At 40.2% G+C, this 13,790-nt stretch overlaps 1 protein-coding gene across 1 annotated transcript in view; it reads right to left on the minus strand.

The window, feature by feature from the left end:
- The window catches only part of DDX24 (DEAD-box helicase 24), a 32,916-nt gene extending 19,185 nt beyond the window's left edge, over nt 1-13,731 (minus strand). The window contains exons 1-2 of the mRNA NM_020414.4: nt 13,648-13,731; nt 11,554-12,276 (exon numbers count right to left, since the gene is read on the minus strand). Of these exons, the coding sequence (NP_065147.1) occupies nt 11,554-12,271 (718 nt within the window). The 5' untranslated portion in view covers nt 12,272-12,276; nt 13,648-13,731. The remainder of the gene's footprint in view (nt 1-11,553; nt 12,277-13,647) is intronic.
- Nucleotides 13,732-13,790: the final 59 nt, after the last annotated feature.

Genomic DNA, 13,790 nt, shown 5'->3' on the forward strand with positions numbered 1-13,790 from the left:
GAAGCACAAAGAACACCTGGGAAATTCACTGCAAAAAGATCTTCACCTAGGCACACTGTCATTAGGTTATACAAAGTTAAGACAAAGGAAAGAATTTTAAGAGCTGTGAGACAGAAGCACCAGATAACCTATAAAGGAAAACCTATCAGATTAACAGTAGACATCTCAGGAGAAACCCTACAAGCTAGAAGGGACTGGGGCCCTATCTTCAACCTCCTCAAACAAAACAATCTTCAGCCAAGAATTTTGTATCCAGCAAAACTAAGCATCATATATGAAGGAAAGATACAATTGTTTTCAGATAAACAAATGTAGAGACAATTTGCCATTACCAAGCCACCACTACAAGAACTGCTAAAAGGAGCTCTAAATCTTGAAACAAACCCTGGAGACGTATTAAAACAGAACAACCTCTTTAAAGTATAAAGTAAAAATCACACAGGATGCAGACATACAAGTTAAAAAGCAAAAACAAAAAAACAAAACTAAAGTACACAGGCAACAAAGAGCATGAGGAACGCAAGGGTACCTCACATTTCAATACTAACATTGAATGGAAATGGTCTAAATGCTCCACTTAAAAGATAAAGAACTGCAGAATGGATGCAGAACTCATCAACCAACTATCTGCTGCCTTCAGGAGACTCATCTAACACATAAGGACTCACATAAACTTAAAGTAAAGGGGTGGAAAAAGGCATTTAATGCAAATGGACACCAAAAGCAAGTAGGGGTAGCTATTCTTATATCAGACAAAACAAACTTTAAAGCAACAATGGTTAAAACAGACAAAGAGGAACATTATATAATGGTAAAAGGCCTTGTCCAACAGGAAAATATCAAAATCCTAAACATATATGCACCTAACACTGGAGCTCACCAATTTACGAAACAATTACTAACAGACCTAAGAAATGAGACAGACAGCAACACAATAATAGTGGGGGACTTCAATACTCCACTGACAGCACTAGACAGATCATCAAGACAGAAAGTCAACAAGGAAACAATCGATTTAAACTATACCTTGGAACAAATGGACTTAACAGATATATACAGAACATTTCATCCAACAACTGCAGAATATACTTCTATTCAACAGCACATGGAACTTTCTCCAAGATAGACCATATGATAGGCCATAAAATGAGCCTCAATAAATTTAAGAAAATTGAAATTATATCAAGCACTCTCTCAGACCACAGTGGAATAAAACTGGAAATCAACTCCAAAAGGAACCTTCAAAACCATGCAAATACATGAAAATTAAATAACCTGCTCCTGAATGAGCATTGGGTCAAAAACAAAATCAGTTTGTAAATTTAAAAATTCTTCAAACTGAATGACAATAATGACACAACGTATCAAAACCTCTAGGATACAGCAAAGGCAGCACTAAGAGGAAAGTTCATAGCCCTAAATGGCTACATCGAAAAGTCTGAAAGAGCACAAACAGACAATCTAAGGTCACATCTCAAGGAGCTAGAGAAACAAGAACAAACCAAACCCAAACCCAGCAGAAGAAAGGAAATAGCCAAGATCAGAGCAGAACTAAATGAAATTGAAACAAACAAACAAAAAAACAAAAGATAAACAAAACAAAAAGCTAGTTCTTTGAAAAGATAAATAAAATTGACAGACCATTAGCAAGATTAACCAAGAAAAGAAGAGAGAAAATCAAAATAACCTCACTATAAAACAAAACAGGAGATATTACAACTGAAACCACTGAAATAAGAAAGATCATTCAAGGCTACTATGAACACCTTTACACAGATAAACTAGGAAACCTAGAAAAGATGGATAAATTCCTGGAAAAAAAACCCTCCTAGCTTAAGTCAGGAAGAATGAGATACCCTGAACAGACCAATAACAAGCAGCAAGATTGAAATGGTAATTAGAAAATTACCAACAAAAAAAAGTCCAGAACCAGACGGATTTGCAACAGAATTCTACCAGACATTCAAAGAACTGGTCCCAATCCTTTTGACACTATTCTACGAGATGGAGAAAGAAGGAACCCTCCCTAATTCATTCTATGAAGCCAGCATCACCCTAATACCAAAACCAGGAAAGGACACAACCAAAAAAGAAAACTACAGACCAATATCCCTGATGAACATAGATCCTAAAATCCTTAACAAAATACTAGCTAACCAAATCCAACAACATATCAAAAAGATAACCCACCATGATCAAGTGGGTTTCATGCCAGGGATGCAGGGATGGTTTAACATATGCAAGTCAATAAATGTGGTATACCACATAAGCAGAGTTAAAAACCAAAATCACATGATCTCAATAGATGGAGAAAAAGCATTAGACAAAATCCAGCATCCCTTTACAATTAAAATTCTCAGCAAAATTGGCATACAAGGGACACACCTTAATGTAATAAAAGCCTTCTATGACAAACCCACAGTCAACATAATACTGAATGGGGAAAAGGTGAAAGCATTCCCTCTGAGAACTGGAACAAGACAAGGATGCCCACCTACTCTTACCACTCCTCTTCAACATCGTCCTGGAAGTCCTAGCCAGAGCAATAAGACAAGAGAAAAAAAATAAAGGGCATCCAAATCAGTAAAGAGGAAGTCAAACTGGCACTGTTTGCTGATGATATGATCATTTACCTTGAAAATCCTAAGGACTCCTCCAGAAAGCTCCTAAAACTGATAAACAATTCAGCAAAGTTTCCGGATACAAGATTAACGTACACAAATCAGTAGCTCTTTTATACACCAACAGCGACCAAGTGGAGAATCAAATCAAGAACTCAATCCCTTTTAAAATGGTTGCAAAAAAAAAAAATACTTAGGAATATGCCTAACAAAGGAGTCAAAAGACGTCCACAAGGAAAACTACAAAACACTGCTGAAAGAAATCACAGACAACAGAAACAAATGGAAACACATCCCACGCTCATGGATGGGTAAAATCAATATTGTGAAAATGACTGTTGCCAAAAGCAATCTACAAATTCAATGCAATCTCATCAAAATACCACCATCATTCTTCACAGAATTAGAAAAAACAATTCTAAAATTCATATGGAACCAAAAAAGAGCCTGCATAGCCAAAACAAGACTAAGCAAAAAGAACAAATCTGGAGGCATCACACTACCTGATTTCAAACTATACTATAAGCCCATAGTCACCAAAACAGAGTGATACTGGTATAAAAATCGGCACAAAGACCAATGGAACAGAATAGAGAACCCAGAAATAAACCCAAATACTTACAGCCAACTGATCTTCAACAAAGCAAACAAAAACCTAAAGTGGGGAAAGGACATTGTTTTCAACAAATGGTGCCGGGATAACTGGCTAGCCACCTGTAGGAGAATGAAACTGGATCCTCATCTCTCACCTTATACAAAAATCCACTCAAGATGGATTAAGGACTTAAACCTAAGACCTGAAACTATAAAAATTCCAGAAAATTAACATTGGACAAACCCTTCTGGACATTGGCTTAGGCAAGGATTTCATGACCAAGAACCCAAAAGCAAATGCAATAAAAACAAAGATAAATATCTGGGACCTAATTAAACTAAAGAGCTTCTGTACAGCAAAAGGAACAGTCAGCAAACTAAATAGACAACCCATACAGTGGCAGAAAATCTTCACAATCTATACATCTGACAAAGGACTAATATCCAGAATCTACAGCAAACTCAAACAAATCAGTAAGAAAAAAAAATCCCATCAAAAAGTGGGTTAACAACATAAATAGACAATTATCAAAAGAAGATACACAAATGGCCAACAAACATGAAAAAATGCTCAACATCACTAATGATCAGGGAAATGCAAAGCAAAACCACAATGTGATACCACCTTACTCCTGCAAGAATGGCCATAATCAAAAAATCAAAAAACAGTAGATGTTGGCAGCCAGGCACGGTTGCTCATGCCTGTAATCCCAGCACTTCCGGAGGTTGAGGTGGGCAGATCACCTGAGGTCAGGAGTTCAAGACCAGCCTGGCCAACATGGTGAAACCCCATGTCTACTAAAAATACAAAAATTAGTCGGGCATGGTGGCAGGCACCTGTAATCCCAGCTACTTAAGGAGGCTGAAGCAGGAGAATCACTTGAACCTGGGAAGCGGAGGTTGCAGTGAGCCAAGATTGTGCCACTGCACCCCAGCCTGGGCAACAGAGTGAGCCTTTGACTTAAAAAAAGAAAAAAAGCCGGGCACAGTGGCTCACACCTGTAATCCCAGCACTTTGGGAGGCCGAGATGGGCGGATCACCCGAGGTCGGGAGTTTGAGACCAGCCTGACTAACATGGAGAAACCACGTCTCTACTAAAAATACAAAATTAGCTGGGTATGGTGGCGCATGCCTGTAATCCCAGCTACTCGGGAGGCTGAGGCAGGAGAATCACTTGAACCCGGGAGGCAGAGGTTGCAGTGAGCCGAGATTGCGCCATTGCACTCCAGCCTGGGCAACAAGAGCGAAACTCCATCTCAAAAAAAAAACAATGTTGGCATGGATGTGGTGAACAAGGAACACTTCTATGTCCTGGTGGGAAAGCAAACTAGTATAGCCACTATGGAAAACAGCGTGGAGATTCCTTAAAGAACTAAAAGTAGAACTACCATTTGATCAAGCAATCCCACTACTGGGTATCTACCCAGAGGAAAAGAAGTCATTATACAAAAAAGATACTTTCACACATAATTTTATAGCAGCACAATTCACAACTGCAAAATCATGGAACCAACCCAAATGCCCATCAATCAACGAGTAGATAAAGAAACTGTGGTATATACAGGATGGAATACTATGCAGCCATAAAAAGGAATGGATTAACAGCATTTGCAGTGACCTGGATGAGACTGGAGACTATTATTCTAAGTGAGGTAACTCAGGAATGGAAAACCAAACATCGTATGTTATCACTGATATGCAGGACTAAGTTATGAGGATGCAAAAGCATAAGAATGATACAATGGACTCCGGGTACTTGGGGGGAAGAATGAAAGAGGGGCAAGGGATGAAATACTACAAATATGGTGTAGCGTATATTGCTCGGGTGATAGGTGCACCAAAATCTCACAAATCACCACTAAACTGGCACAGTGGCTCACGCCTGTAATCCCAACACTTTGGGAGGCCGAGGTGGGCAGATTACTTGAGTTCAGGAGTTCAAGACCAACCTGGCCAACGTGGTGAAACCCTGTCTCTACTAAAAATGCAAAAAGTAGCCGGGCATGGTGGCACATGCCTGTAGTTCAGCTACTTGGGAGGCTGAGGAAGGAGGATGGCTTGATCCCAGAAGGTGGAGATTGCAGTGAGCTGAGATAGCACTACTGCACTCCAGCCAGGGTGACAAAGCAAGACTCCGTCTCAAAAAACAAACAAACAAAAAAACTTGCTCATGTAACCAAATACCACTTGTACACCAATAACTTATGGAAAAATTTAAAAAAATTAAAAATAAACATCTAAACATAGAAAAGGAAAAAAAAATTTAAAATAAAAAACAGAAATGTGAAAAAAATAAATAAATCAGGTATGCTATCAGTCAAAAAATAAATAAGTAAACCCACCATTATCAATAATCATTAAACGTAAATAATCTCAGTAACTCAATTAATTTTCTTTTCTTTTTTTTTTTTTTTTTGAGATAGAGTCTCACTCTGTCACCCAGGATGGAGTGCAGTGGCACAATCTCAGCTCACTGCAACCTCCGCCCCCTGGGTTCAAGCAATTCTTGTGGCTCAGCCCCCCAAGCAGCTGGGACTACAGGCACATGCCACCACGCCTGGCTATTTTTTTGTATTTTTAGTAGAGACAGTTTCGCCATGTTGGCCAGGCTGGTTTTGAACTCCTGGCCTCAAGTGATCCACATGCCTTGGCCTCCCAAAGTGCTGGGATTACAGATGTGAGCCACCATGCCTGGCTTCAATAATTCAACTCAAAGACACGAACTGTCTGATTAAACAGCAAGACCCATTTATATGCTGCCTATAAGAAATTCACATTAAATATAAATAAGGGAAAGTAATAGTATTGAAAAACACATACCATGCTAACCCCTTAATCAATAAAGCTGGACTGGCTGCATCAATACCAAAGGACATTTTAGAACAAAAAAAAATTACTAAGGATAAAGGGGGCCATTTCATAACGATAACAAGCCAATTCATTTAGAGGATATAATAATAATCTAATATTTTAATCCATAAAACATGTATTCACATAAACTGATTGTCAGAATACATGAAACAAAAACTAATAGAACTGCAAGTAGAAAACAGTCACTCAAGAAAAAAATAAGTGGCCGGGTGTGGCGGCTCATGCTTGTAATCCCAGAACTTTGGGAGGCCGAGGCGAGCAGATCACGAGGTCAGGAAATTGAGACCATCCTGGTTAACACGGTGAAACCCTGTCTCTACTAAAAATACAAAAAATTAGCCGGGCATGGTGGTGGGCACCTGTAGTCCCAGCTACCTGGGACGCTGGGGCAGGAGAATGGTGTGAACCCAGGAGGCAGAGCTTGCAGTGAGCTGAGATCGCACCACTGCACTCCAGCCTGGGCAACAGACCGAGACTCCATCTCAAAAAAAAAAAAAAAGAAAAAAATAAGTAACACAAATATCTCTAATCTATTAAACAAAGTAAATTTGTAGTCAAAAATCTTCCTACAAAGACAAGTGCAGGCTCAGATGAATTCTACCAAAAATTTAAGTTGGGTATAAAATGTCAATCCTGTATAAATTCTTTCAGAAAACTGAACAGAATACTTCAGAAATCATTCTGAAGCTACATTACTGATTCCAACACCAAAACATTACAAGAAAACTACAACTATCCCATGAACATAAGTTCAAAAATTCTCAACAAAATTTTAGCAAATCAAATCCAACAAAATATAATTAGAATAGTATATTGTGACCAAGTTCAGTTTATCCCAGGAATGTAAGTCTAATTTCATAATTGAAAATCAATGTCATTCACCACATTGGCAGACTAAAAATGAAAAACCACCTATTTCAATATATGCAGTAAAAAAGCATTTGAAAAATATCCAACATCCAACCCTGATAAAACCTCTCAGCAAATGAGAAATCAAAGAGAACTTCCACAACGTGATAAAAAGCACCTACAAAAAACCTACAGCTAAGATCAGACTTAATGGTGAAAGACTAAATGTTTTCCCCAGAAGATCAAACACAAAGCAATAATGCCCACTTTACCACTACAATTCAAAATTCTGCTAAAGGTGTTAGCCACTGCAATACAACAAGAAAAACAAAAGGCATCCAAGACTGGATAATGATCATCTTTGCAGAAAATACCATGGAATCCTCAGAAAACTACTTGGTGGAACTAAGTTGCAGGACACAAGATCAATATACAAAAATCCATCATATTTCTACTTATTGGCGACAAACAATCGGAAATAAAAAATTTTAAATTACCATTTACAATAGAATCAAAAATATAAAATGCTTAAGGATAAATCTAACATAAGATGTGAAAAATCTATATACTGAAAATTTTAAAACATTGCTAAGAAAAGTTAAAGATCTAAAGAAATGGAGAGATACCATATTCATAGACTGGAAAATTAAATATTGTTAAGACGTCATCTATCCTCAATTTGCTCTGTAATCAACAGAATCCCAATCCAGATATCAGCTTACTTTTTTTGTAGAAACTGATATAACGGATTCTAAAATCCATATGGAAGGGCAAAGGCCTACAACAGTCAAAATAACTTTTAAAAAGAACAAAGTTAGAGGACTCATACTACCTGATTTTAAGACTTATTATAAAGCTATTATAACCAAGAGAATAAGAAACTGACATAAAGACTAGACAAACAGATCAATGGAAAACAAAAAGACTCCAGAGAAAGACCCACACCTATATGGTCACAGACTTTCAACAAAGATGCAAAGTCAACTCAGTGGAGAAAGAATAGTTTTTCTACAAATGGTGCTGAAATAATTAGCCATATGCAGAAAAACCCACAAACTTTGATCCATACTTCTCACTCTAAATAAAAGTTAACTCAATAAGGATCAGAGACCAAAACATAAAACCTAAGACTATTAACACTTCTAGAACAAAACACAGGAGAAATCTTTGTGATCTTGAATTAGGCAAAAGGTTCTTAGATAAAACACCAACGGCACCAAAAGCATAAATTCATAAAAGACAAGGCTAATTTGGATTTCATCAAAATAAAGACTTTCTGCTCTTTGAAAAACACTGTTAAGAGAACGAAAAGATAAGCCACAAACTGGGAGAAAAATTTGCAAATCTCACATCTGATAAAGGACATGTATCTAGAATACACAATGAACTCCCAAAACTCTACAACAGAACATCCCTATTTTAAAAATGGGCAAAATAATCAAACAGACAAATAAGCATATGCTAAAATGCTCTACATTGCTAGTCACTAGGGAAATGCAAATTCAAATGACAAGGAAATAATAGTAAAATTTTAAAAGTCTAAAATAAAATTAAAGACTGAGCATACCTAGTTATTGACAAGAATATGGACCAACTTGAACTCATACCACCTAGTGACAACGTAAAATGGTATAATCACTTTGGAAAACTCTTTAAAAGTTACATTTACCACAAGACCTAGCCATTCCACACCTAGGTATTTATCCAATAGAAATTAAAGCACATATCCATACAAAGACTGGTACAATAGTATTTACAATAACTATATTTGTAATAGCCAAAAACAAGAAAAAGCACAAATGTCCATCAATAGATGAACAAACTGCTCTACCCACACATTGGAATACTATTCATCACTAAAAAGGAATGAACTGCTAGTAATTGTAATAACATGGCGTAATCTCAAATTATGCTGAGTCAAAGACTCAGATACCACCCCCTCCAGTACATATTATATGATTTCATTATATAAAATTCTAGAAAACGCAAATTAGGCCGGGGACAGTGGCTCACACCTGTAATCCCAGCACTTTGGGAGGCCGAAGCAGGCAGGTCATGAGGGCAGGAGTTTGCGACCAGCCTGACCAACATAGTGAAACCCCGTCTCTGCTAAAAATACAAAAATTAGCCAGATGTGGTGGCAAGTGCCTGTAATCCCAGCTATTCGGGAAGCTGAGGCAGGAGAATCACTTGAACCCAGGAGGCGGAGGTTGCAGTGAGCCGAGATTGGGCCACTGCACTCCAGCCTGGGTGACAGAGCGAGACTCCGTCTCAAAAAAAAAAAAAAAAAGAAAGCAAGAAAATGCAAATTAATCTATAGTGATAGAAAGCCTATCAGTGGTTGCCTGAGGAGGAACAAGAACTGAGGGAGGGAGGGAGGGACAACAAAAAAAACCCAGGGTATCTTTTTGGGGGTAATGGATATACAGTTGACCCTTTAACACAAATTTGAAGGTAGGGGTCCACTTATACACAGAATTTCTTCCACCTCAGCCACCCTGAGACAGCAAGACCAACCCCTCCTCTTTCTACTCAGCCTACTGAAAGTCAAGATGAAGATGAACACATTTATGATGATCCACTTCCATTTAATGAATAGTAAATATATTTTCTGTTCCTTACAATTTTCTTAATAACATTTTTTCTCTAGCTTATGTTACTGTAAGAATAAAGTATATAATACAAAATATGTGCTAATAGACTGCTTATGTTATCTGTAAGGCATCCAGCCAATAATAGGCTATTAGCGTTTAAGTTTGGGGGGAGTTCAAAATTATACATGGATTTTCGACTGCACAGGGGACCAATGCCCCTAATCCCCACATTAAGGGTCTATTTATTATTGCATGGGCAGTGGTCTGTTCACAGCCCCAGATGGATGACTTATCCAAGTCGTTTTGAATTCTGGACTTGTAGATTCACAACCTGACAGGAACTGTGGTATACATCCAAATGTCAATCTCTGGCCACAACGGCTCATATAAACCTTGTTTCTGCCTTCCACGGACTTACTTCCAGGACTCTGCTGCACATACCAAAGCAGTGTAGCAGAATGCTTAACAACACACAGAACTAGCCTGGAATCCATACACTACCATTTCAGTTGTGTAATTTTAGGGAAGCTGTCTATGCTCTGTGAGGCTGAGTTTTCTCATCTGTAACATGGGAATAATGGTACTTACCCCAGGGTGGTTGTGACAACCGATTTCATCAACATAAAGCACTTAACACAGTGCATGACACATCTTAAATGCTCAGTAAATGTTCTAAGTTATTATCTCCATTCCCCTTTCCTGTAGTTCCTCACTCTTCCATCTATATGACTGCCACAGAACATCATCCTGAGTTTCCTGACCACTGTTCCAGAAACCCAAAGCACGTGTCTACTGAACACTTAAAATGTAGTTACTCTAAAATGACATGTGCTGCAAGTTTAAAACACACCAGATTTTGAAAATTTAGTAAAAAAAAAAAAAAGAACATAAAATATCTCACTAGTTTTTAACTTTTAAAAAATGTGACTCCTAGTAAATTTTAAATTACTTATGTGTTTCACATTATACAGTCACCCTTCTGTAACCGTGGGTTCTGCATCTGTGGATCGACAATATTCGGGGGGGTAAAAAAAAAAAAACTGTATCTGTACTAAACACTGTACAGACTTTTCTTGTCATTATTCCCTAAACAATACGGTGTAACAATTTACATAAGACCTATGTTGTATGAGATATTATAAGTAATCGAGAGATGATTTAAAATATACAGGAGGATGTGCCTATATAGGTTATATGTAAGCACTACACCATTTTATATCAGAGACTTGAGCATCCCTGGATTTTGGTATCCAAGGGAGGTCCTGGAACCAATCCTCCATGGATATCAAGAGATGACTATATGTATTTCTAATGGACACTGCTGGTCTAAACAGACCAATAGTTCCAGGCAGTACTAGTTCCTCCCCCAAGTCAGCAGTCTAGTCTATCCAGCAAAGTCAACCTGTCATTGCTTCCAAAAGTCTCGCAGGAACCTCAAACACAGCATAGTCCTAACACTTCATAGCTGAATCTGTTTACAAAATCCACCCAATGACTACCCACCACACTCAAATCCTTCCAATGACAAGAAACTCATCAACTCCCAAAGCAGCAACCCTTTTCACCTTTGCACAACTCCTGAGAATTAGACAGTTCTTCCCTATACTCATGAAGATCTACCTCTCCAAAGGGCTGATCTTAGCCTTGCCTTACCCCTTTGAGCTATTTAGAAAAGGCTCAAGAACAGCAGAAACTACGATTTGCAGACCACTTCCAATGTACAGTGTAAGCTTTAGTTTACTGTGGCATTTAACCCTCACAGCAATGCAAGAGGTAGAAACTGTTATCTCCATTTGGTTGATAATGGGGTCTACAGAGCTGAGAGAGATAAAAGTGATCTGGCTAGGATACCATTCAAGAAGAGCATATTTCAAACCAGAGGGGCTGACTTCTAAACACCTTTATTCAGCGTTGCTTTTGTGGTTATGTTCTTCAACATTCTTCTCTCTCCCAATTATCTGGCCTATTAGCAGCTATGGGCTCAATCCAGAAGCAATCCTGCTTTGGCCAGAGTTGCCCTTACCTGTCTCAGCAGCCCCAAGGATGTCCAGTTTGTCACGGATGGCAGGTGCCAAGGTCAGGGCTTGGATTGGTGTGGGTGCAGAGAAGCCTAGAAAGCTGAGTGCTCGGAGAACCGGCCTGGGAACAAACAGGTCCTTCCAAGCTGACACATCTGCTTTCTGATCATGAACTTCAGGAATCCATGTCTTCGCTTTTTTGGGCACCTTGGCAGCAGTGCTCTGAGAAGGCTCCAACCCTTTTTTCCCTTTATTTTTCTTCTTTTTTGGAGCAGTTTGGACCAGGTTTTCTGATGTCATCTCCCCAGCCTCCGGATCATCACAAACCATGTCATCTCCCTGGGCCTCCAGCTCAGGATCTTTCACTTCAAATTCTTTCTGGGTACTGGTTCCTTCAGTTGCTACATTTTTACTTTTCTTCAACTTGATCTTTTTCTTTGGTGAGCTAGACTTTCCCTCCTCCTCCTCCTCTTCTTCTGAAACAGCTTGTGCCTTTCTCTTGGGTGCTTCCTTTGAGAAGAGACTGGAGGGATTCTTGGCAGGGGAGACCAACTGGTAATCTGTCAATTCCTCAAAGCACACCAAGTCATCCATCTGTCCATCTGCAAACATATTTGGGTCAATCTTCACTTCCTTCCATTTTCCCACAACTTTGATTCCCTTTGTCTGAAATTTGCCACAGCTTGACTGCTTTGGCCTTGATTTTGTGTCCTTCAACTTCATGGTTGCTGAAAAGGAGATACATGTTCTATTAGGTTGGTGTCTGAGAAGCAGAGGGTTCTGATGTAACAAATATTTTCTAAGCAACTAGGCCCTACAAAGAACTGAGGATACAAAGATGGCTATCACACAGTTGCTCCCACCTAGAGAAGAACAAAGAATACCACAGAACAGACAGCTTTGCCTGGAACACAGGGTACACATGTGATGGAACAAAGACATATGAGCTAGACCTGGTTTGAATTCCAAATCCAACACTTACTGCCTGTGTGACCTTGGATAGTGCCACCCACTCCTCTCTGAACTTCAGTGCTCTCATCTATAAAAAGGGGGGAGGGTACCTAACAATATCTAAGTTGTACATTTTATGTAAATAAAGAAAATTATGTAAAGCACGGAGGATGAAACCTGCCACACCTAAGTCGTTCTGAAGGCAGAGTAAGAATCTCAGGGGTTTTTCTTGTGGGGGCAGGAGGGGTGAGCTTTATTAAAAGCGTACTGCGCTTGCTTCCTTCTCAAGCCTTGCCTGAGAGAGCAAATGCCTGCTCCACCATCCTTTCCTTTGCCAAGCGTCTTAAAACCCATCCAGTTTCTTCATCATATTTTAAGTGGCTTAATGGCCATTTAGGCCCAACTCGTTTGGGTGGAACTCGATCCAGGTTTTTCCTTTTCAGAAAGGCCAAGAAAGATAACAGATTCCGTGAAAAAGACCAAGGTAAACTTTGGTTCAAATCCAGATCCACCACTTGTCAGCTGTGGCTCTGCGGTGGACGTATTAATCTCTGAGTCTCTTATTTCCCAGTCTGCACAATGGGAAAAACGAGGACATCTGTCCCACAGAATCCTTATACGCCACTACGAAAAAGTGACGCACGTCAAAAAAAACCGCTGAGCATGGCGCCCGGCGAGGAGAGCACGTTCGCACACAGTGCCCGCCGGACCCGCTGCGCCACGGCAAAAAAACAAAAAACAAACAAAAAAAAACACAAAGAAACACGCGGGGTTCAACAAGGAGAGGGCGAGGGGTGCCACGCGAACCGGGCGAGGACACGGAGAGCGCCAGGCAGAGTAGAAGGGCCTCTGTCTCCTCGTGACGCCGGTCCCGCGCGGCCCTCTCGCTTTGTCTCAGGCACGAACGCGCGCACGAAACCGAGAAACCGAGAAGCCGAGAAGCCAAGGCCGTCAGGCTCTGATGACCGGACAAGGAGCCCAAGGCGCGGGGACCGTGGCACGCAGCTCGGTTGGACGGCTTGGGCCGGCGGCCGCCCTCTCTGGACCCGGGAACCCACCGGCCCAGAGCGACCCGCGATAGGAACCCGGGTTCCTGGCCTCAGCCCCTCTCCAGAGTCGGCTCCAACCCCGCTCGTTTTGGTACTCACCGTGTGGAGACGCCACCGCAGCTCCGTCAGTCGCGAGTGAAGAACCTCAGAAACCGCCGCTGTACCTCAGCTGCAGCAGCAACTGCAGTTCCGGGGCGGGACCTCCACGCACGTACTCGTGCGCGCTGGGGAGGAAGTCCCGC

Source organism: Homo sapiens, chromosome 14, assembly GCF_000001405.40.
Source record: "Homo sapiens chromosome 14, GRCh38.p14 Primary Assembly".
Taxonomy (NCBI): Eukaryota; Metazoa; Chordata; class Mammalia; order Primates; family Hominidae; genus Homo; species Homo sapiens.